The sequence below is a fragment of the Homo sapiens genome, chromosome 1 (genome assembly GCF_000001405.40).
Source record: "Homo sapiens chromosome 1, GRCh38.p14 Primary Assembly".
In the NCBI taxonomy this organism is placed as follows: Eukaryota; Metazoa; Chordata; class Mammalia; order Primates; family Hominidae; genus Homo; species Homo sapiens.
Window position 1 is genome coordinate 174,933,029 of NC_000001.11, and position 25,574 is coordinate 174,958,602.

The 25,574-nt window shown below is 39.6% G+C and overlaps 1 protein-coding gene and 1 long non-coding RNA gene across 27 annotated transcripts in view; one reads left to right on the forward strand and one right to left on the reverse strand.

Moving 5' to 3' along the window:
• Positions 1–25,574, forward strand: part of RABGAP1L (RAB GTPase activating protein 1 like) — an 835,789-nt gene that overhangs the window by 773,509 nt on the left and 36,706 nt on the right. For 18 of the 26 annotated variants that reach the window (NR_158982.1, XM_011510223.3, XM_047436028.1 and 15 more), the window contains one exon: positions 24,429–24,521. Coding sequence is in view for 25 of the 26 variants with exons in the window: in XM_011510223.3 (XP_011508525.1) it covers positions 24,429–24,521 (93 nt within the window). In the remaining variant the exon portion in view is untranslated. Of the gene's footprint in view, positions 1–24,428; positions 24,522–24,862; positions 25,160–25,574 lie in introns of those variants that run through there. The other 8 variants (XM_047436050.1, NM_014857.5, NM_001366447.1 and 5 more) reach the window with 2 other exon arrangements.
• On the reverse strand, positions 1,919–21,233 carry RABGAP1L-AS1 (RABGAP1L antisense RNA 1). Its single transcript, NR_121196.1, has 6 exons — positions 21,129–21,233; positions 15,695–15,848; positions 12,796–12,866; positions 5,419–5,496; positions 2,371–2,478; positions 1,919–2,072 (listed from the first exon to the last, which is right to left on the reverse strand). It is a non-coding gene; the product is annotated as an RABGAP1L antisense RNA 1 (long non-coding RNA).

A 25,574-nucleotide genomic window follows, 5' to 3' on the forward strand; every position in this document is an offset into this window, starting at 1 on the left:
TGCTTCTATATCTTCTCAGCAGACAGAACTAGGGACTAAACACACACACACTTACATACATACATGCATACATACATACATACATACATTTATACATACATACATACATACATACAAACATACATACATTTATATGCATTTGCACCTGTATTTCTTCAACCCCACAGAGCTCATTCTAGTTTTTCATCTTTCTGGATCCTGAACTTCCTGATAAATCCCCCAGTATTTGCCAAGTAGCCACCTCTTTAATTGTGTGGTTACCCTCTTCACCCTGTTAAAATGCTGCATGCCAGATTGCACCCTTCCATGGATGCCTTTCTGACATTCTGCTTGGGCTCCAACACATCTGTGTCAGGCTGCCACTCTTCATAAATGCCCTTATTACGATGCTTGGGCCAGGTCTCCCCAAGCACATGAAAAACTGCACTGTTTTCGTGGGTTTGGATACCAAAGAAAATTGAATGACTGAAAAGTACTGAAGAGTTTACCTTAAAGGGAGGAAACTAGAGCAGAAGTTCTCCAAATGTGATCTCTAGACTCAGAACATCAGCACCCCCTGGGAACTTCTTGGAAATGCAGATTCTTAGGCTCCATCTCAGATCTGAATCAGAAACTCTGGTTATGGGGCCCAGCAATTTGTGCTTTAACAAGCTTTCTAGGGAATTCTGGCACATACTAGTGTTTGAGACCCTCTATCCAAAGGAGAGATAGAGTCTCAACTTAGTATTCTATCCTGCATCTAGGTTATCTCTGGCATAATGAAGACTCCCTGGTTGTCAAGGTCTTGGTACAATTTTTTAGGGCTTTGGAGCCATCCTAGAAATGAAGTCCTCCCATATGGATCAAGACTGGAATAATTATCCAGTTCAACCCACCATCCGTGGAAAACCCAATCCTCTAGGGAAAATCAAGGAATTATACTCGAATTAAACTGTGCTTTGTCTTTTTGGTATAGAAACATTTTAATTAAAGCCTTACAGTTAATAAATATTTAAAGGAAGGACCAGAAATTAGTATCAAAGAAATAAAAGTTTTGCAGTTTTCATTTTTGTTTTTTTGTTGTTGTTGTTGTTATTTTGAGATGGAGTCTCACTCTGTTGCCCAGGCTGGAGTACAATGGCACAATCTCAGCTCACTGCAACCTCCACCTCCTGGGTTCAAGCAATTCTCCTGCCTCAGCCTCCCAAGTAGCTGGGGTTACAGGCATGCACCACCACACCCAGCTAATTTTGTATTTTTAGTAGAGACGGGGTTTCACCATGTAGGTCAGGCTGGTCTCGAACTCCTGACCTCAGGTGATCCACCTGCCTCGGCCTCCCAGGTGCTGGGATTACAGGCATGAGCCACCACGCCCGGCCGAAAGTTGTACAGTTTTTACTTATTTTAAGCTCACATCTGATGTAAGAATGTACAGTTAATGAACTGTTACTCTCCCGTACTGGCTGTGTTTTCTACAGTATCAAAAATATACTTCAAGGCCAGGCATGGTGGCTCGCGTGTGTAATCCCAGCACTTTGGGAGGCTGAGGCAGGTGGATCAGTTGCTTGAGCCCAGGAGTTTGAGACCAGTTGGGCAGCACAGCAAAACCTCATCTCCCCAAAAAAATACAAAAAATAGCTGCTAGTGGTGGCATGCACCTGTGGTCCCAGCTACTCAGGAGGGTAAGATGGTAGAATGGCTTGAGCCCAGGAGGTCATGCCTTCAGTAAACTGAGATAATACCACTGCACGCCAGCCTAGGCACCAGAGTGATACCCTATCTCATTCATATATGTGTGTGTGTATGTGTGTGTATACACATATATATGCTTCACAAATTTTACTTATATATAGACATAGAGGCTTACATTTCAGGTAAATAAGATAGGCTCCGTATAAAGCAATTTGAGAATAAGAAAGTTTTATCTCTTTTTCTTGAGTGGCATGAAAAGATAAACAAAATACTTTATTTACAGTAGAGAACACAGCATATTCAAATTCAGTATTGTGACCTTCACCTCAACTGGATTAGCCAGGTAGTATGTTACTTGCTTAGATTCCTGGGTCAGATGTGTCCTGTATCCTTTAGCTTTTCTGTCAGCAAAAAGGGATAATTAGGACACAGAACCTGAATTTTAAAATGGTTTCAGTTTAAATTAAAGATTCCCTTGAATTAAAGCTGATTCCCTTCTTAAAGGTGATTGATATTTATGATTTTTCATTGTCTTTGTTCTCAAGGAGACTTTTATTGTCTTACTGCAAAATTTTTGTAAATATCTTTGAGTTCTGTTTTTTCTGAGTTTATGTGATTAAGGTTTTGAGAATATCTAGATATAGTACTTCTGACTTTTTCCAGACAAGAAACAAGACATATAAACATATACCCACTCACATTTACAAAGCCTAGGAGATGAAGTTTCACGTAATATGGACTTTGGCTTAATTTTGTCTCGTTCTTATAAATAATCCTTTGAAAATGTGTCTCAGAAAATCATTAACACTGAAAAAGGAAATATGAAAGACTTAGAATTCTGAAAATTATAACATAGTAGACTTTTTAATTTATTATCATTTGTGATTTCAACATTTTTGTGGGATTACCTTAAGAGCCATGACACTGTAACACTTTGTAATTTTGTAAAAGTCCTGATTGTCAATATATGCCCAGTGAGGGTTGGTAAAGAATAAATCTTGGCCAGGCACAGTGGCTCACGCCTGTAATCCCAGCACTTTGGGAGGCCGAGGCGGGCGGATCACCTGAGATCAGGAGTTCGAGATCAGCCTGGGCAACACAGTGAAACCCCGTCTCTACTAAAAATAAAAAATTAGCTGAGCGTGGTGGCACATGCCTGTAATCCCAGCTACTCAGAAGGCTGAGGCAGGAGAATCGCTTGAACCTGGAAGGCAGAGGAGGTGGTGAGCCAAGATTGCACCATTGCACTCCAGCCTGGACAACAAGAGTAAACCTCCATCTCACCAAAAAAAAAAAAAAAAAAAAAAAAAGAGTAAGTCTTGATAAGCACACTTGTTTTTGCAGTATGTAGATTTAAATTTAACTTTGTTTCTGGGTAGAAAATATATCCAGAAAAAAAGCCAACCACTAGTGCTGATATTAGAATTGATGAGAACACAAAGTCCAAGGACATGATGATATTTACCAAGGAAAGAGCAGCTTCTGCTGGGTGTAGTAGCTCACGCTGGTAATCTCACAACTTTGAAAGGCTGAGGTAAGAGAATCACTTGATTCTCTTAGTAGTTCGAGACCAGCCTGGGCAATGTGGCAAGACCTGGTCTCTACTAAAAATAAGAAAATTAGCTGGGAGTGCTGGCATAGACCTGTGGTGCCAGCTACACAGAAGGCTGAGGCAGGCAGATTGCTTGAGCCCAGGAATTCAAGACCAGCCTGGGCAACATGGCGAAACCCTGTCTCCACAAAAAATACAAAAATTAGCTTGGTATGGTGGCACATGTCTGTAGTCCCAGCTCCTGTGGTGGGAGGATCACCTGAGCCTGGGAGGTCAAGGCTGCAGTGAGCCATGAGCATGTCACTGTAGCACTCCAGCCTGGGCAACAGAGCAAGACCCTTTCTCAAAAAATAAATAAATACATTGAAGCATTCTTTGAATTGGCAGATATATGTTTTGAACCTAAATGACTGGACACCTTATAGAGACAACAAAGTGCTCCCTAACACTAACTTAATCAAGATGTTAGCCAGTAAATATTTGCTTATGAAAAGATGAAACTTTACTAAGAATTAGAAAGTAGCAGAGCTTATTACTTTGATCCCATGTTTATATAAATCACTTTCTTTTTTTAATTATTAATTTGCATTTTATAGCTTCAATTATATAATTACATGTTACACTATAAGTGACATTTGAAAAAATTGTCTTAGGACAACTGTCATATACATCAAGGTCTGTAGTGAGAATGAGGAAGGACCATAATTTTTATAAGATTAATTTTTTTTTTTTTTTTTTTTTTTTGTGAGATGGAGCCTTGCTCTGTTGCCCAGGCTGGAGTGCAGTGGTATGATCTCGGCTCACTGCAACCTCCACCTCTGAGTTCAAGCGATTCTTCTGCCTCAGCCTCCTGAGCAGCTGTGACTACAGGCTCCTGCCACCACGCCCGGGTAATTTTTGTATTTTTAGTAGAGATAGGGTTTCACCGTGTTGGCCAGGCTGGCCTCAAACTCCTGACCTCAGGTGATCTACCCGCTTCGGCCTCCCAAAGTGCTGGGATTACAGGCGTGAGCTACCAAGCCCAGCCAAGATTAATTTTTTTTTCTTTTTGAGACAGAGTTTTGCTCTTGTTGCCCAGGCTGGAGTGCAATGGTGTGATCTCGACTCACTGCAACCTCTGCCTCCCTGGTTCAGGCAATTTCCTTGCCTCAGCCTCACAAGTAGCTGGGATAATAGGTGCCCGCCACCACACCCCGCTGATTTTTTTCATTTTTAGTAGAGATGGGGTTTCACCATGTTGGCCAGGCTGGTCTCAAACTCCTAACCTCAGGCGATCCACCTGCCTCGGCCTCCCAAAGTGCTGGGATTACAGGCATGAGCCACCGCATCCAGCCCAAGATTAATTTTTAAATAGCAATACTTCATTAAATATATATATATATATCTTGCAGTTAGAAACTGTCATAAATGTATTACAGTGCTTGGTGCTGGTTTGTTTTGTTTTGTTGTTTGTTTGTTTGTTTGAGATGGAGTCTTGCTTTATCACCCAGGCTGGAGTGCAGTGGCACGATCTCAGCTCCCTGCAACCTTCACCTCCCGGGTTCAAGTGATTCTCCTGCCTCAGCCTCCCAAGTAGCTGGGATTACAGGCGCCCGCCACCAAGCCCAGCTAATTTTTTTTTCTTTCTTTTTTTTGTATTTTAGTAGAGATGGGGTTTCATCATGTTGGTCAGGCTGGTCTCAAACTCCTGACCTCGTGATCTGCCCGCCTCAGCCTCCCAAAGTGCTAGGATTACAGGCATGAGCCACCGTGCCTGTCACATTTCAGGTTATTAATGAGTATATTTCCCTTGAGCTAAAAGCATATAACACAGATTTCCATCTATAAATAATTTTACATATGTATTCCAAAGCCCTTGGATGTAGAGGGGAAATGGGTAATATTTAGCAAATTCCAGCCTGTCCTTTTCAATTACTAAAGAAATACAGGTATACCTCACTACTTGAATTCAGGTGATTTGGATAGCAATACTGTATGTCTGTAGATTTCTCTGCTAAGGCTTATGTCTAGATTTTACCACATTCACCAGGCTTAGTGTTCCCACCCTGTGGGTAGCTGACATCTTCACATAGTTTCTTGTAATAAAATATAATTAAATAGTGTTTAAATGTTAAATTAGATTCTTCCTCCCTCTCTTTCCCTTTCTCCATCCATCCTCAGTTTAATTAGTTACCCAGTACTTTTTCCACACCCACCATTTGGAGGAAGTTTGTGACAGAGTGAGTTGATGAGGGTACTTTTGATTTCACTGTGTTTCCTATTGCAGTCATTCTCTGAAAAATGATCAAAGACATTGGAATTATGAAAGACAGCAACAGACTCGGCTTCAGAAGATCCCATTGAGTGTTTTTCCTTGCGCTAGTTATATAGTCAGTTTCCCCCTTGTAAATTATTACAGTGGGGGATTTATTAGGGAAAACATCATTTAAAAATTTTAACGGCCGTGATAAACTGTCATTTGCAGTTCTCAGCTGACAGTCAAACAGCTGCAATCTGTTAGTGAGCTTTTACTTTCAGCTGCCAGAGGTCTTTCAACTCCTGTTCCCCTGGAAATGAGGAGGGCTGGGCTGGACGCATAGAAGGGAAGTGAGGGTTGAAATACACATTTTCCCATACCATATTTTTCATGCCTCCCCACAGTTTCCATAGAAATGGGAACATAAATAACACCCCACCCCAGACTTTGAAGAGCAATCGTTTATGTGTAAACTGCAGTAGATGGACCTTAAAGAGGCACACAAAATAAGCTAATCTTAGGGTCTTTCCTTTACTTGTGTTTGGCCAAGCCTAATTTCAGATAGATTCTCATTTGATTTACTCTGTACTTAAAAAATGATTCGATTTTTTTAAATCAATTTTTAGAAAGTTTGATATTACCTTTTTTTCTGAAATGAGAATTATCTTGAACATACTTTGATTGATAGGTATATATCTGTTGTTTATGTGTTAAAAATCTAGCAAGCTTGGTGTTCTAACTTTCCTCTCATGTTTGTTCTATCCAAGATTAAAGAAATGAATTTTGGGCCAGGTGTAGTGGCTCATGCCTGTAATCCCAGCACTTTGGGAGACTGAGGCAGGCAAATCACTTCAGATGAGGAATTTGAGACCAGCCTGGCCAACATGGCGAAACCCCGTCTCTACTAAAAAAGTACAAAAATTAGCTGGGTGTGGTGGTGCGTGCCTGTTACCATCTACTTGGGAGGCTGAGGCAGAAGAATTGCTTGAACCCAAGAAGCGGAGGTTGCAGTAAGCTGAGATTGCGCCAGCCTGGGTGATACAGCGAGACTCTGTCTCACAAAAAAAAAAAAAAAGAAAAAAAGAAATGAGTTTTGATTTAGGGAATGCTCCAATTGCATAGTATAAAAGGTCTTCTCAAATAGTCTTATTCTTATGCATTATTTTAGAAATTGCCCCACAGAACAGAGGTAATTATTGGCTCTGTCAAACATATCAGAGAAAACTTCCAAATTTAATTGGTTATCACAATTTTCTCATTTAGGTAACAAGAATATCCTATGTTAAATGCATTTCTATGTTTTTCCACTTATCAGCTCTGTGTCATCACATATTTCCTGTAACACCCGTACTTGAGGAAAATGTATGGGCATAGTCTTTATCTGTTTCTTTTATTCCAACATTTAACTAATTAACAAATTCCATTTGAATCATGAGACAGTAAGAATATGTGTAATTGAGTAAATCTGCTTTAGGCATCTACTAAGTATTCAGCTTTATGTTAGGTTGCAGTAGATACCAACTGTAAGTAAGGCAGAATTTTTTCCTTAAGGCATCCCAATGGAGTTTGGAAAATTCATACCCCAGGAATAGCTCATAACAGCCATATGTGATTATTACATGAGTGACATAGACTGATTCCCATGACTAGGAAAACTTGTTTCCTTTCCCTTTCTACTGTCACCTTTTTCACAAAGTCCCTTTCTCCTGATTTATTTTCATAACTTCCTAAATGTCCTTTCAATTGCTACCTTTCTCCTTTTGTTTGTTTGTTTGTTTCTTTTTTTTTTTTTTCTGAGACAGGATCCTGCTCTGTCACCCAGGCTGGAATGCAGTTGCACGATCAATCATAGCTCACTGCAACCTCAAACTTATGGGCTTAAGGGATTCTTCTGCCTCAGCCTCTGGAGTAGCTGGGACTACAGGCACATACCACTGACCATGCCTGGCTAATTTTTTTTTAAAATTTTTTGTAGAGATGGGGTCTCGCTTTGTTGCCCAGGCTGGTCTTGAACTCTTGAGCTCAAGTGATCCTTTCATCTCAGCCTCCCAAAATACTAGAATCACAAGCGTGAGCCACTGCACCTAACCCTTTCTTCTTTTCTTTATCTTCCCTTCTACTTTAGCATATACATGATTTCCAGATTCATATTTGTAAAACCAGTCTTGATCCTTTTACTATTTTAAAACCTCAGTGATCTCTTCACATCATTGTGACAAGATTTTTCTTTTAAAAGACAGTTCTAACGTCAGATATTCTGCCTCATAAGCCTGGCTACCAAAACAATCCAAAAACTTTTATTATTTTAGGTTCTTTCATATTCCAAATTGCTTCTCATATCCAGAATGGATGCAAACATCTGTTAAGACCATCTGCCTGGTTTTTATTTCAGAAAATATGGTCACTGAGCTAGCAACTACCAAAATAGGTTCATGCTTTCAGCGATTGGCAGCAACCTAGACAGTCTTCATTCTGGCTTCAGTGTATTCCTTCCGGCCTGCTCTGCAGGTACCTTATGCCAGGTCATCTAGCTCCTCACCCAAACAGAACTGCTTAGCACATTCAGTAGGCCCACATTTTGTAGCTCCATGCCTTTGCTTACAGAAGTTTCCTTTAGGTATGAGGAAAGATAGAAGCAATAACAAGTTGTTCCTTCCATCTGGAACTTCTTGTCCCTCCCTATACCCCTCTCATAGCCCTATCCTACTGTAATACAATCTGTAATTTACATTAAAACACCCCAGTCTACACAGCGTGTTAGTTAGTCTACACCTTGGATGTGAGTGATTAACATTTGAAACACTGATAAGGGAATACATAGTGTAAGGGTAGTTGTTTGGCATTGGAAATACCCTAATGAGGAGATAACTACTGTAAATTTAACCTGCTTATCTTTAAATCTACACCAGAGAGTTTTCTAGTTAGCATAAAGGATGTCAGAAATAATTTCAAATTGGATTGATTAGAAATACCATACAGGTTCCTCTGGCACATGAATTGCTCATAAGATTCTGGCAAGCCAGGTAGCCTAATGCCTGCACAGTGTCACCCGAGGCAGAGCACTGTTCGGGCCTGTTGACTATCACCTAACAGAAGATGCTTCCTACCTGGTAGAAAGGTAGTGAGGAGACCTATGGCCATGCCTGTCTTCAGTCTTTGGAGGCACTGATATATACCCTCCTCCTCCCCCACCAAAACGAAACAAAACAAAACAAAACAAAACAAAACAAAACCCTGACACTTCGGAATGGTCAATAGCAAAACCTCCCTCCAGGACGATGCTTACATGCTATCTCTTCCTTAAAGTCTATCCTAAATTTCCTGATGGATTTGTGAACTCATTCTCCTCTACACCATCATAGAATGAGGCTTATATTTCTGTTATGGCATTAATAAAATTTTAAAATTTATTGTAAGTTTCTTGATGAAAGGACTGTGTCATAACTTTCTTTGTATCCCACATAGCATGTGGCATAGTGTCTTGTACACAGTAGATATTTATTATAATGAGCACATGCATGTACTTACCAATTCTGTAAGGAACAGATCCAGCTTTGGGTCATAGGGACACTGGGAGCCAATGTGTGAGTTCTTAGAGTTCCATTAATTCACTGTTCATAGTTCTAAGGGAGTCAGGAGTAATTGTCCATAACTACATGGCTCTAGTTAGCCATTAGTGCAAAGACACACTGGGACTGATGTCAACAGCAGAGGAAAGTAGTGCTGTCTATGTTGTCTTCTTTCAGAAACTCATACCTAAATGTATTTCATACTGCTGTTCGGCCAAATCTGGCTCTAGATAATAAAGAAGGACAAATATTTAGGGCAGTTATTTCTCTTGTTCTATATTTCCTAGCCAATTTGAAGCAGTATATATAACTAACCAAGTACACCAGGAGAAAAGTAAAGGAGGTGCAATTATAGCACACAGATTTAAAAAACAAAGCAAAATAAAACATTTAATGTTAGTAAGATGATAGTATAGTATAATAGTTCAAAGCAAGGATATTAAACCCAGACTGCCTGGGTTCAAATTAATCCCCACTTTACTAGCTGTGTGGCCTTGGGCAAGCTATTTAACCTTTCTGTGCCTTTGTTCTTCTTCTGTAAAATGAAGATGATAGAACAGCACCTACTTCAGAGATGTGAGGCTAAAATGAATTCATACATGTAAAGCATATAGCACTCAGTGCCTGGCACATAGGAAGTGCTGGATGTGTTTGCTGTTCCTGCAGTGATATGGTTAAATCATAGCTCCAAAGGCAGAAGTATGCTAATTTCAGTCAGTGTGCAGTCCTTCTGTCTGTGTGCTTTGCAGTTCTCCGCCTCCAACTGAGTAATCTTAATGCCTTGAAGCCCCCAAATATTGGTGCTTATACCTTTCTTGTGGAACCTGTCACATTCTACCCTAAATTATATAATTATTTGTAAGCTCCTTAAAAGCAGAAACTATCTTCTTTGTCTTCCTCTCAGCACCCAGCAGAATGATTACATAACAGCCTTGCTTACACAATAGCTCTTTGCTAACTATTTGGGGAAACTATGAACCTCTGTGAGGTTGGTCCCTGGAGGCCCTGCACCTTGGACTGGTTCCTGTGTACCTCTCGTACTCTTCAGCTAGCAATCCCTCTCCTCACTGTGCTCCAGCAACTGGCCTTAAGTCCCTTAAACATGCATCCTTTTCCAAAACTGGCTTGATGTGTGTGTGACCTGTGCAGTCACATAGGTCCTCATACTTGGTTGAATGCTCTATCACTAGCTTGAAATTCTTAGTTTTTGTGTTCAATTTTTATCTTGCACTGAGCCTGCAAATTATGTAGCCGGTCTTGCTCTTGGTCATCCTGTGCTCATTGTTCCCTGTGCCTGGAACACCCTTTCTCCCTAATCCTCACTGGCTAACCTACTCTTCAAGGCTCAGCTTCATTGTCATTCCTCAGAGAAGCAATAAAAATTAGAGCCATGTATTAGTATCCCTCCACATTTTCTTCTCCCTCAGAGCACTTAACTTACTTTGTAAATACAGTATTTATTTATATTGTGATTATTTCTTTTAAGACTTTATCCCAGGCTGGGTGCGGTGGCTCATGCCTGTAATCCCAGCACTTTGGGAGGCTGAGGTAGGCGGATCACGAGGTCAGGAGTTCGAGACCAGCCTGGCCAACATGGTGAAACCTGGTCTCTACTAAAAATACAAAATTAGCCAGATGTGGTGGCGGGCACCTGTAATCCCAGCTGCTCAGGAGGCTGAGACAGGAGAAACCCTTGAACCCAGGAGGTGGAGGTTGCAGTGAGCCGAGATCACGCCACTGCACTCCAGCCGGCGCGACAGTGCGAGACTCCATCTCAAAAAAAAAGACTTTCTCCCCACCAGACTGTAAACTCCTCCAGGGGATAGACTGTGCCTTTGTTCCAGGACGGCTTTACCTGCTACATAGTAAATAGTAAATAAATATTTGTTGAGTGAGTGAATGAATAAATCATTTTTAGAAATGCCAAGTTGTGGCCAGATGCAATGGCTCACGCCTATAATCCCAGCACTATGGAAGGCTTAGGTGGGCGGATCACTTGGGGTCAAGAGTTCAAGACCAGCCTGGCCAACATGGCGAAACCCTGTCTCTACTAAAAGTATAAAAAAATTAGCCAGGTGTGGTGGTGTGCACCTGTAATCCTAGCTACTTACTCGGGAGGCTGAGGCCGGAGAATCGCTTGAACCCAGGAGGTGGAGCTTGCAGTGAGCCAAGATTACTCCACTGCATTCCAGCCTGGGCAACAGAACAAGACTGTCTCAAAAAAAAAAAAAAAAAAAAAGCAAAGTTGTATGGATAAGCTTTTCTTCCCAAGCTAAAAAGTTGATGTATAAAAATAGCAATTCAAGGCCAGGTGTAGTGGCTTACACCTGTAATGCCAGCACTTTGGGAGGCCAAAGTGTACAGATCACTTGAGCCCAGGAGTTCAAGACCAGCTGGGGCAACACAGTGAAACCCCACCTCTACAAAGAAATCAGCCAGGCTTGGTGACTTACACCTGTGGTCCCAACTACTCAGGAGGCTGAGGTGAGAGGATTTCTTGAGCCTGGAAAGTCAAGGCTGAAGTGAGCTGTGATTGCACCACTGCACTCCAGCCTGAGCAACAGAGTGAGACCCTGTCTCAAAAAATTAAAAAAAAAAAAAAAAAAAAGTCAGTGCAATCTTCATGCAATTTAATATTGCTAGTGATGACTTTTAACCAGTTCTACTTACTGTCTTTATAGATGGATGAATACAGTAAAATTCCCCATTTTTCTTTTCCACTGTTTGTTCTTCTCATATAATCTGGTATAGTAAAGTTGAATCTCTCTAAAGTCAGATTTACTCAGGTTGTCTTATACATTAGTTTCAAATTAAATTTCTTAGAGCATAAATGTCTACAGCCTTCTGTCTCTTGTATTTTTAGCAAGCGACATGTATTTACTTTTGATCTAATTGCCAGCGACAATTGACATAAAAGTAATGCTTCAGGTTTCTTAGCATTTTATGGTGGAAAGGCCAGTACTATGATAATGAAGTTAACACTTGATAATAATAGAGAACAGTGTCCTACTTGGTTTTCCCATCATTCTTTCTCTCCTCTCTTATTGTCTGTGTTCAAATAGTTTAATTAACTCACTCTGAATGCACAGCTGTATCAGCTTTCTGTGGTCCAATTTTGGAACTATATCTGTTTATTCTACTCCCTGGAATCACACCAATACAATTCAACATGTAACCAGATTTAATGCTTGCCATCTTACTGTCTCAATTTTTAGTGCTTGGTAGTCATTCCATTACTCTCCAAATACTGTACTAAAATTTTTAAGTGATAAATTTCTAACCAAAAACTTATTTACAAATGGATTTCTACTTGAGATTTACAATGGATTTTGAGCACCTCCCCCAAAAGAAATAAAAAACATCCAACATGGTATACTAACTTGATATTATTGCTTCTTAATTTTTGCAAAGAGGAAAAGAATCAGAATTTGCATAATTTAGCCCCACATTGAGAATAATCAATACAGTGAGAGAAGAATTTTTATTGCTTAAAAGAAAAACAGGCTAAATGTCCTTTTTTTTTTTCCTTCAAGTGTAAGGAATCTGAGAAAAACAGATTTTAAAACCAATAGAAGGAATGGTTATGATCCAGCAGCAACTGCTGCATGTGGGTGAAGAAAAGAACCCAGCATTATTTGTACAAATCCATAAGGGATGCAGTGGGAACAGAAAGAAACAAGGAAGTATAGGAAATAGAGAAGAAGGGCACTCAGTGAAGATGTAGGCCTCAAAAAATGTTCCATCTAAGCACTGACTGATTCCAGTACCTTAAGGTGATCTGCTTTAAGCTATAAATCTTCTGAGTGGTTTATGCTCTCAATGCTTTTTTTTCAGAAGGCTGTGAGAGGAGGAAAAATATATTATTTTCAGTCTGCCCCCTCTTAAGACTTTATGGAATTTTAAGCAGGCTTCTCCTAGAGTTAAATTCCTGATTCAACCACCCCAGAGTCTATTTGGCTATCTGTCTCTCTCTCTCTCTCTTTTTTTTTTTTCCTAGCTTGCCCAGAAAGATTAAAGTAAAGGTATTCTTTCTTTTTCTTTTTTCTTTTTAATCTCCTACGTTATGCCTGGTAATGTGGCAGATATCTTAGGTTCATTACCTCTCAGTTATGCATTAACAGCACCTCCATCCTTGAGCTGATTAGCTCAGTTAACTGCTGCAGGCTACTGACGAGGCTTATCAAAGGTCCTAGGTTTGAGAGCTATGCATGTTGGCTAGATGACAGGCAATGTAGATGATAGTCATGTAACATAGTGTATGACTAAGGCTTTAACTTTGGTGTCAAAAAGACCTTTTGGGTAGCTGGGTGCAGGGGCATGTTCCTGTAGTCCCAGCTACTTGGGAGGTTGAGTCAGGAGGACTTCTTGAGCCCAGGAGTTCATAGCCAGCCTGGCAACATAGTGAGACCCAATCTCTTAAAACAAAAGCCTATAGGGTCTGTCATTATTATAGGGCCTGTGTGTGTTACTTAGTCTTTCTTGGTTTACTCAATTTATAAAACGGATATAGTAACACCCAGTTTCTTTGTGAGGCTTAAGAAATATAAAAAATGCTAAATGATGGCTGGGCACTGTGGCTCACGCCTGTCATCCTAGCACTTTGAGAGGCCGAGGCAGGTGGATCACCTGAGGTCAGGAGTTTGAGACCAGCCTAGCCAACATGGTAAAACCCCATCTCTACTAAAAATACAAAAATTAGCCAAGTGTGGTGGCAGGCGCTTGTAATCCCAGTTACTCGGGAGGCTGAGGCAGGAGAATCGCTTGAACTCAGTGGGCAGAGGTTGCAGTGAGCCGAGATCATGCCACTTCACTCCAGCCTGGGCAAAAGAGCGAGACTCCATCTCAAAAAAAAAAAAAAAAAATATATATATATATATATATATATGTGTGTGTGTGTGTGTGTGTGTGTGTGTGTGTGTGTGTGTATATATATGTATATATATATGTATGTATGTGTTCAGTGCTTAGGTCAGTGCTGCAGCATGCATTTTGTGCTCAATTAAAGGAGATGGTCATCGTAGTTGTTTGTGTTACCCTATTACAAAACATAAACAATTCAAGTTCTGAGTAAGAGGTTTAAGTAAATTGCTCATAAAATTATATAGCTAGTATTTGGCAGAGAAAGTTTTCAAATGCAAGCGTGTTTAATTTTTTTCTTTTTTTTTTTTTCAGACAGTTTCACTGAGCTAATTTTTGTATTTTTAGTAGAGACAGGGTTTCACCATGTTGATCAGGCTGGTCTCAAACTCTCAAACTCCTGACCTCAGGTGATCCACCTGCCTCAGCCTCCCAAAGTGCTGGGATTATGGGATTACAGGCGTGAGCTACCATGCCCAGCCAAGCCTGTTTAATTTCTTTCTTTCTTTCGTTTTTTTGTTGAGATGGAGTTTCGCTCCTGTCACCCAGGCTGGAGTACAATGCCGCGATCTTGGCTCACTGCAGCCTCAGCCTCCTGGGTTCAAGCGATTCTCCTGCCTCAGCCTCCCGAGTAGCTGGGATTATAGGCATGAGCCACTGTGCCTGGCTAATGTTTTTGTATTTTTAGTAGAGATGGGGTTCCACCATGTTGGCCAGGCTGGTCTCAAACTCCCGACCTCAGGTGACCTACTTGCCTCAGCTTCCCAAAGTGCTGGGATTACAGGTGTAAGCCACCGCACCCAGCCAGCCTGTTTAATTTCTAAACCACCTCAAATAAAGTATCAAAGAGAAACTGCTGTTCAAATAATTGTGCTCGAAGAATATGGTTTTTCTCTTCTTTAAAACTTGATTTTATTCTTATATCCAAGCTGCTTATATAAATAGATTCTTGAAATATTTTGGGACACTAAAATAGTCCTTCCTGATCTTACAAATTTCTTCTCTCCTAAAATTTATGTATAAATTGGTTGTTTGAAACTCAGAATGGATATTCCCTTAGGAAGTGGTGGTTGTGTTCTCAGGCCAATTCATAAAAGCTTCTCTAGCCTGTCTCTTCTCCCTTTCTAGTGCTTAATGTTTAGTTCAGTGGTTTTCAGATGGACAGTATATCAAAACTGCCTGAGTAGCTTTGTAAAGATAAAGGTACTTGAACAAAAAAAAAATGAGAAAGAATGAGTAAGACCTCGTGTATGATAGCGCAGCAGGATGACTATAGTCAATAATAATTAATTGTACATTTAAAAATAACTAAAAGAGTATAATTGGGCTGGGTGCAGTGGCTCACATCTGTAATCCCAGCACTTTGGGAGGCTGAGGAGGTCAGATCACTTGAGCCCAGGGTTTCAAGACCAGCCTGGTCAACATAGCGAGACCCTGTCTTTACAAAAAATACAAAAAATTAGCCAGGTATGGTGGCGGGTGCTTGTAGTCCCAGCTACAGGCTAAGAGGTGGGACTATCACTTGAGCCCAGGAGGTCGAGGCTACAGTGAGCGGCACTGCACTTCAGCCGCAGCCACAGAGCGAGACCCTGCCTCAAAAAAAAAAAAAAAAAAAAAAAGGAGTGTAACTGGATTCTTTGTAACACAAAGGATCAATGCTTGAGGGGATCGCTACCCCATTTTACCTGATTTGATTATGACACATTACATGCCAGTTTCAAACTATCTCTTGTACCCCATATATAGATTAAATTACTATGTATCCACAAATATTAAGATTAAAAAAAAGATAAAGGTGACTGATCATACCTCAGATCTTCTGAATCAGAATTTTAGGGTGAATGTGCTCGATCCATCCCAGCAGAAGCCTGAGGCAGGGGAGGCATGATGTAGTAAAGGTACTAGAAGAAGTCCTGTGTGGCTGGAGCAGAGACCGGTTGTCTTTAAACTCTTGATTGTGATCCTTGTGAATGAAAGTCATATGAGCCGATACCACCAATATATGTATATTCATTTTTAAATAAATTAGCCACCTGTACTACAATAAGCACAAATATTTTTTAAAAGATGAAATAAAAATAGTCCTTCCTGACTATTTTCATATTCTAAAAACAGAACATGAAATTCTAATAATCACCTTTTGCTTTCTGTACCTATTTGGATAGTTTTATGTACTTTCTGGGATGGACAAACCACACTTTTGCAAAATATAGGCAAAGAGAGTGAAGGGAAGGTAGATAGAGACTAGATTCTGTAGGACCAGCAGAGCCAAGTATTTCTCTATCCTAAGTGCAATAGGAAGCAATTGGAAAATGTTAGGAAGGAAAATGATGTCAGATTTGCATCCTGGAAAAAATTACTTTGGCTGCCCAATAGCAAAAAGATTTAGTACAGCAACTATGAACATGGGGAGTCCACTTTGGAATTTATGGCACTAGTTCTGATGAAAGGTGATTATGCCTTGAATTGGGCATTGCCAGTGAAGTTTAAAAGAAAAACAAGATAGATATTTTTGAGGCGTACAGTATAGAATCTAGTGATGGATTGCCTGAGCATTGGTTGGGGGAGCAGACAATGGTGACTTGTGGGTTTCTGGCTTGAGCTTCTGGATGGAAGATGAACAGTGGGAGAAGAACAAATTGGGGGTAGAAGGTGGGGTATTAGTCCAGGTTTAAATATCTTGAATGTTAACCATCCAAATGATGATAGGAAGTTCACAATTGGATATGCAGGCTAAGCTTAGTAGAAGTTCTGGGCAGAAAACTATAAATTTAGGAGTTGTCAACACATAGTACAGAAATTCCTCTACCTCCAGATATTATTTATTGATAGGAAATATCTAAAGCAGAAGTGCCAAGGAGTTCCACAAAAATATTATACAAGATTAGACTTACAGGACTGAAGATGAGGAATTAAAAATGAACAGGTAAGCAGATTCTATAAAATGCAAGTCTCCCAAAATTGCTACAGCATTGGGACCACAGCTTATACTAGAATGTGGCAAATAAAGTACAAATCAGTATTTCAGAAGCTCTCAAAGATACTTTGATGAGCATGCTACATTCTGGAGTAAGCCACAAACATTGGAAAGTGGCTCATGTCATATAAGTATTCATGAATAAAGGTCCAGGTACATGTCACAAGTGTGCACACCACTAGGATTGAGTAATTGGGAAAGCTAGACATGTCAGATGAGATTAAAACAAGTACAGCACCATAGATTGTATGTTAGTATGAATTCAGGAGGAGAATGCCTGGGAATTTGATGTCTGTAAGAAGCCTTGGAAATTATGTTAGAGTTGCAAGAGAGAAGTATGTCCTTTGTCCCCACCCCCTTAAACCATTATGTTCCTTAAGTATTAGAATACAACTAATAATCATTTACAGGCTCTAACATTCTCTGAAGGTTTCCTCCTGCACCCAAGACACATGGGGCAAAATATCATTGTTTAATATGTTCCCTCTCCTCCTAGTGCTAAAAGCTTAAAAGGAGTCAAAGTGACTTCTTTTGCTGACCACTATGAAGAGGATTAAGTGAAGCCTATAGGGCGTGTTCCTCCTCTTGATGGATGCCTTCTCCTGATTCCTTTTCATCTGTTTCTTCTCGAGTGCATTATACTACTGCAAACTGTTAGAATTTTGGTTGCCACTGATCCACTTTATGTCCAGATCTTGATAAGTCCTTGCAAAAATAACTGTGACTCTGACTTGGAAACTCTCAGTAACCCCCAAATTTCCAAGGAAAGTGATACTATATTACATTTCTATTTTTTCTCTGTCCATTGATTAATATATTAAATGAGATAATTTATATTCATCCTAAGAAACTGTCTGAAGTGAGCAAGAGTAGCACATAATGGCTAGCACCTTTGGCCTATTAATTTTCTAGGCACCTGAACTGAGCACCAGGAATCTTCACTTCTGAAAATGTTAACTTGGGTCATATCAGCCTTTAAAAAAGAAAAACACAGTGATGTACTTTACCAGTATTTGCATCCATAAATTAATATTTTTGTATCTTTCATTTCTGAATTACAGAAGCAGATTCATCAAACCCTGAATGATAGCTCTTACAAGTGACTGGCCCAATGTTAAAACTGAGCACAGGAGAAATGCTCTGTGTTTTAACTGGGCAAGGAAGCTTGCATAAACCAGTCATCATGAAAATCCTCCTCACTGAGGTGCTTCTCCCTCTCCAACCCTCTGTCCCACAAATTTCTTCTTGATCATCTTTGTACCTTTTATAAATATCTGTTATTGCGCTTATGAAACTAGATGATAACTAGACACATATTTGGCACTACGTCTAGACTGTCAGCTTCTTGAGCAGCTTTACTTTAATCATCTGGTCCCAGGCAGTAGAGCAAAGTGGTTAAAGAGGGCAGGCTCTGGAGGCCAACTGGATTTCATTTCTGTATGATCTTGGGCAAGTTACCTATCCTCAACTTATTTGTAAAATCCAAATAATACTTCCCTCATGGAGTTGCTGGCAGGATTAAATATAGATTTTTCTAAATTAATAGGCTTAAAACTGTTAGGAAATTTTTTGACTTGAAGGAATTACATACTTAGTGGCAATTACTGCTAACCAATAACAAAGCAGAGGGAAGTGGACATCTGAATACATCAATGCAGTGCTAAAAACCTTGCACACTGGTCCAGGCCTCTCTTCTTGTCTTTATTGATAGTTTAGCTCAGAGGCTTTTAGTATGAATCCCACATCTTCTCAAGCATGTACCCCTCAAACCTACCAGCCCCCAACATCCACACCTGGTTTAGAAAGGTTTGTAGGCATCCTGTTTGTCACAGTGACAGGCAGCCGCTACTGACATTTAATAGGTGAAATCATAAATGGGCCCAGGGATGCCATGGGCTCAGAAATGGAGAGCGGAGTCTACACCAAAAATTATTCCACCCAAAATGCCAATAATATCTTACCTTGAGAAACACTGGTAGTGCCCAGGGTCTTTTCTCTACTAAAATGCAAAACCAACTTTTCACAAAATTAATATACTATTTCATAAAGTCAGAATATGCCAAAGATCATGCCATATATATTACAGAGCATAGATCAACTTGAAAAATCTTTACGTATGTATTCTGTTATTTCTCTTTTCTGTGTGTAAGTTCTTTTCAAGTTACTACAGTGAGTTTCAAATTTGTTATTTAAGAGTTCTATTATTCTGTTCATTATGATCCGAAGTTTAAGATCTGCGGTGTTGAAAAGCACTCCTAAATATACAAAGCCCTTGAACTCCTAAATAAACAAAGCCCTTGAACTCCTAAATGTACAAAGATCTTGTTTGGGCCAGGCCTGGTGGCTCACACCTGTAATCCCAGCACTTTGGGAGGCTGAGGTGGGAAGATTGCTTGAGCCTTGGATTTTGAGACCAGCCTGGGCAACATAGTGAGACCCTGGCTCTACCAAAAAAAAAAAAAAAAAAAAAAAAAGCTAGGCATGGTGGTGTGCCCCTATAGTCCCAGCTACTCAGGAAGCTAAGGTGGGAGGATCACCTGAGTCCAGGAATTTGGGGCTGCAGTGTGCTGTGATTGCGCCACTGCACTCCAGCCTGAGCAACAGAACAAGACCCTGTCTCTTAAAAAAAAAAATGATGATTGAGTTTGATAATCAGGAAACTTAACCAAATCTTATATGTAAGCAAATAAATATGTTTTTATTTGTTTGTTTTATTTTGAGACAGGGTCTCACTCTGTCACCTAGGCTGGAGTGCAGTGGCATGATTTTACCTCATTGCAACCCAGCCTCCCAGGCTCAGGTGATCCTCCCACCTCAGCCTCCCAAGTAGCTGGGTCTACAGGCATGTGCCACGATGCTCAGCTAATTTTTGTATGTTTTGTAAACACAGGTTTTCACCATTTTGTCCAGGCTGGTCTTGAACTCCTGAACTCAAGTGATCCACCCACCTTGACTTCCCACAGGGCTGGGATTATAGGCATGAGCCACCACACCTGGCCAAAATAAGTTTTATTAGAAATAACTCACTTTGGGAGGCTGAGGAGGGCAGATCACTTGAGGTTAGGAGTTCAAGAGCAGCCTGGCCAACATGGGGAAACTCCATCTCAAATAAAATACAAAAATTAGCTAGGCATGGGTGGCATGCAAAAAAAAAAAAAAAAAGAACTAATGCATGTGAAATTCAAATATTAGTAAGTATTCAAAATAAGATATGAAAGTAAGAATACAAAATAGGGTGATATCACTGGTTGATATGATTAGTGAGATGAACATTATTAAGGCAAATTCTTCCGATAATTATTGTTATACAACATGATTAATATATATTCAGTCTGAAAGAGTCATATATACAAATATGAAATAAACACCTCAAATGAGAAGAAGAGAGAAAACATGGAGAATGAAGAAAGTTGGGTGTATTCTTTTCAGTCTTCCCCTCCCATATCTCCGTCTGAGGCCAGCATGGCTAATATTGAGAAAGAGTAAGGCAAATGAGTAATTATTGTGCTCTGTCTTTTACTGTTATTGAAGGTCACTGTTTAACACTCCCTCGCCATTCCCCTAACCACTCCCCTTTGCCTTAAATTCATTAAGCTGTATTCTTTGTATTTCCTGATAACAGCTGACAAGGACCCACTCTCATCTGTAATGACAGGTGAGGGTATTGATGATAAGTAGAGTTAATAAAGCTTCTCCAGTGATTTAGAATTATAACGCTCTGAGTATTATCATCAGGGGAATAGATGAAAAAGCCCATTTCATTTTGTGCAGTGTCCTTCAAACTGCTGGTTATGAAATCATTTTAGAGGGTCTGTGAAATCACTGTGGAATACGATGAAACGTAATAGAAAGTATCAGCAGACACTGTGGGAGATCGGTCAGAGCGGTGGGGAAAAACTATAGGGAAAGGACGCAAACCTTCTGAAAGGTCAGAAGGTTCTGCAGAGCCCCAGGGGAGAATAGCTGAAGGCAGCTGTTCTGTAACCCTGAGGCATTGGGCAAGGAGTAGGTACAAGGCAGTGTAGGGGAATTTATCTTAAACAAACTTGTTTACTTATGTTGACCAGGAACTGACCTTTGATCATCCGTGGGGACGGTCCCCCTGAAAGGGGAACAATAAATGTTAATTACCTAAGAGGTTTTTAAATTTCTTTCTCCAGAAAGAAAAATTTCAAGCGTCTGAATCCCATTCAGTATTCTCTAAAATAAAATCAAGTTTGTCCTGAAAGATGGTTTAAAAACTGAAAATCTATTTTCTTTGATTACCTCATAAATAACAAGAGTTTCATATCAGCTCTCCTGTCTCTTCCTCCTCCACTCTTTTCCCCTCTTTCACATTGTGCCAATCACACAGGTGGATGCTCAGTATCACCCCACAGCACAAGATAAATAAGCTTGGAAGGTTTCCTAGCAACATATTGTTCTGGGAACCTGCTCTGTTTCCCTGAACAAGATGAAGCCAAATATCCTAGAATCTCAGCCAGATGGGAAAGGATTAGCTTATTGAGAGTGTTATTGCCTTTTTTAAAAAAATGTTTCACTTTGAAATGAACCTCTTAATATAAGTAGCAAAAGTGACTTTTAAAAGGACATGTAAAAATATCCCTTTAAAAGGACATTTTTTTCTCTTACATGTAAAAAAAAATTGATAATAGTTTGAAGTTTAAAAATATGGTTTCAGAATTCTCTAGGCACAAGCTTCCAGTATGTAATTCAGTCACTGGTGAGTGGATCCATTTTAGAACCATGTAGAAAATACTTCCACATGGAACTAATTCTCAGCCTGGTGTCCAGTGGTATGGTATTCCTGCTGTAAAAATACTGAAATACTTCCGATCTGGTGGGAAAATGGCTCCTGGAGTAGGCTCTCTCCTCACAATACCTTTAGCTGCTCCCCTTGGCCCTTGTTTCTGCTCCTAGGGAAACATTGGAGACACCTTGTTACTGCTTAAAACCCTGAAGCTTCCCCTTTTTCTATAGCTCCAGGGCTATTTTAGTGCTAGTGATTTGCAACTTCATCTTCAGAGTCTATTTTTGGTTTTCTCAGTGTATGATTAATGTATATAGAGAAAATAAAAGAAATTGAGACTGCTATCAAAGCCAAGAAAAATAATGTTGTCGTTTTGTTAACACATGATTGTGTATATTTCCCTTGTTTATCTAATGATCTGTGAGGCTACACAGTTGGCAGGTGGTGCTTTCCTTTCTATTGCACTCTAGTTGGTCACAGTATACTTGTTAGAGGTCTCTGGAGATGGAGTAATAAAGGATTCGTGTTTCTCATAACAATATTCAGCAGTGGCTTTGCAATTCAGTTACACCCTGGAAAATGTCCTCACTCCTTGTTTGGCTGGGGAGACATTCCCCCATCAGCCAGATGAATATTCTCATAATGTGGTTGTTGACTGGTTTCTATCATCTATCAGGTTTGGACTGAGTTTGTGAAACTTCCCAATTGTGGTGAGAAGCAGATAATTCTAGTACTTCATAGTGTTCCTGGATAAGAAGAACAAAGTAATTAGAATAAGATGGGGAATGACACCTGGAGTCTTTGTTTTTTATGTAACAAATTATCTGGCCAGATGCCAGAGAATTAGTACTGTCCTCATTTTAATGAAAATAAGGAAATTGTGAGATAATTTTATATTCATGCTAGATGCTTTCCATTCTCTTTTGCTCTCTCACTCATATGTATATGTTTTCTAAATACCATATTTTAAACTCAACAAGGAACAATCTGTTGAGGGCCTAGTATGAGCCAAATACTGCTAGGTATTATGGCAGATACTGAGGGCAACACATCATCCTTGCCTTCTCAGAGTACGCAAGAAGTTTGCAACATAGCACGTTTGTAATCTTAAACCAAACAAAAACATTAAGGAAAGGTGTTGCTGTGTAAAGGAATCATAGGCTAGGCACAGTGGCTCAGGCCTGTAATCCCAATGCTTTGGGAGGCTGAGGAAGGAGGATCGCTTCAGCCCAGGAGTTTGAGACCAGCCTAGGCAACATAGCCAGACCCCATCTCTACAAAAGTTAAAATAAAATAATATAAGTAAGGGAATTCTATAACTTTGATTGTCCAAAGAAAGGCTAAAAGTAGATTTAATATGTATTATGGAACAGAATAAGTTCTAATACGTTAATTTTGATTGAATACTTATTTTAAAAAAAATTTTAAAAATGTCCATAAACCAGGCATTGTTTTAGATACCTCTCTGTTAACTCATTTAATTCTCCTGACACCATTATGAGGTAGAAATTTTGTTTACCTGCTATTTTATAGATGAAGAAACTGAGGCTAAGAGAGTTTTTTTGTTTGTTTGTTTTAAAAGACAGGGTCTCATTCTGTTGCCCAGGCTGGAGTAAGTGGCCGTCATAGTGCACTGCAGCCTGGAACTTGTGCGCTCAAGCAATTCTTCTGTCTCAACCTCCAAGTAGCTGGGACTATAGATGTGCACCACTGTCCCCTAAGAGAGGTTAAATATCTGTTTACTGAGGGCTTTTATACTACGCTGTGCTTATTTGTTTATTTTTAAAATTCTAAGAGTCCATAGGAATCTAGTCTTTTTTCAGAAAATAGTAAACTACTGTCTTTTGTGGATGACATAATTTTAGCAAGAAATAAATGGGTTGTTTAGATGACTTTCTATTATCTCATACAGCATAATGATTCTATATTTGAGTTTTCATTGTCAAACACTAAAACCTCCTTTGTTTTCAGTGTACTAACTCCATTTTAGAATATTTTTCTCTTCTCTTCTTTTTTTTTTTTTTTGAGACTGAGTCTCGCTCTATCACCCAGGCTGGAGTGCAGTGGTACAATCTTGGTTCACCGCAACCTCAGCTTCCCAGGTTCAAGCCAGGCTCATGCCTCAGCCTCCAGAGTAGCTGGGATTACAGATGCCCACCACCATGCCCCGCTAATTTTTGTAATTTTAGTAGAGACCGGGTTTCACCATGTTGGCCAGGCTGGTCTCGAACTCCTGACCTCAAGTGATCCGCCCACCTCAGCCTCCCAAAGTGCTGGGATTACAGGCATGAGCCACCACGCCCAGGCCATTTTAGAATATTTCTTGTAGCTCAATTTTTTACTTATATAAAATAATAATTTTCATTTTCAACATAATAGAAGGATATGAGTGAATTATATTTAAGAAAGTTAAAATTAATAGCACTATTAAATACATTAACAAGAGAAGGTTGTGACATCAGCAATATTATTTATAACAGAGGTGGACAAACTGTAGCCTGTTTCTGTAAATTAAGTTTTCTTGGAACACAGCCAGGCTCATTTGTTTAGGTATCACCCATGGCAGGTTTTGTATAATAATGACAGAGTTGAATCTTTGCAACTTAGACTATATGGCCCACAAGGCCTAAAATATATACTGTCTGGACCTTTACAGGAAAAGTTTGCCAACCTCTACTCTGGAATCTCTATTTTTCTCCTAACTTTGAGTTGAGCATGTTCCCTTAGAATGCCAGAAATTTAACTAGCAAACACACCTGAATTTTTTTTCATAAATGGTGTCCTTGTCTAACATGGTTTTCCTCAAATCCCTGCAGGTACCAACCAAGAAGCTGAAGAAATATGAGAAAGAATATCAGACAATGCGAGAGAGTCAGCTGCAACAGGAAGACCCAATGGATAGATACAAGGTATGAGAAATATGTTGCACCTATCAAAGTACCTTCTTTTTTGTTTTAAATGAGACTGAGTCTTGCCGTGTTGCCCAGGCTGGTCTTGAACACCTGGCCTCAAGCAATCCTCCCACTCCAGTCTCCCAAGTAGCTGGGATTACAGGCACGAGCCACCATTCCCAGCAAAGTACCTTTTTTTTTTTTTTTTTTTTTTTCTTAAAGCAGCAGTTGTGGCAAGTTCAATTCCCTCTGTTCTTCCTTGATTGATTTAGATGCTCTCTGATCATGCTAACTGTCCAGGTATGTTTTCATTTCAGGAGACTCCCAAATAGCCAACCATAATATTTCTTTTCTTTCAGTTTGTATATTTGTAGGTAACTCCAGCTGTTGCATTTATACTGGGAATCTTCATAAGAAGCTGAGAGAAAGAGAGGGGAAAAAGAAAGTGGCTTTCTACTTTCAAAAATGAAACAAAAAGGAAAAATGGCAAAGTACTGTTTTAGCTGTGCATGTCATATCCACAAAGACTTTTAGCAGGTGAACTGTTCCAAGACTGACACAAGGATGTTTCAAACTTGCCTCTGTCTGTAGAAAATGTTAAAAATACCAACTCACTTGGAAGGAAAAATAAAAATCACAAAGGTATATTGAGCACAGTAGTGGTGTTTGTTGCAACATTTATTTCCACAAATGAATTTATGAACAACAGTGATATTTGAGTTAAAGTATGAAGTTTCAGAATCAAAATAATTTCATTTTAATACGTTCGTTAATTGTGAATCTCTTCAATGGTAATTAGCAACACTGTTCCCAGGATGCAAAGTTGGGAAACACTTATTTCCAACTTATTTTTTTCCAAGTAAAATATTATCTCTCTTCAACATGCTTTAACTTTTCAGACTCACACAGATACGTAACAGCTCCTTCTCCCTCCATATCAATACACTAAGATAAAAGAATACTGTATTTTCAGCACTGAGCAGCAGTGCCAAAATCTCCTGCCAAGAAATGGACTGTGTGGCATTATTAATTAAATCACCCACATTGGGATGACTTCCACTTTTGTAACTA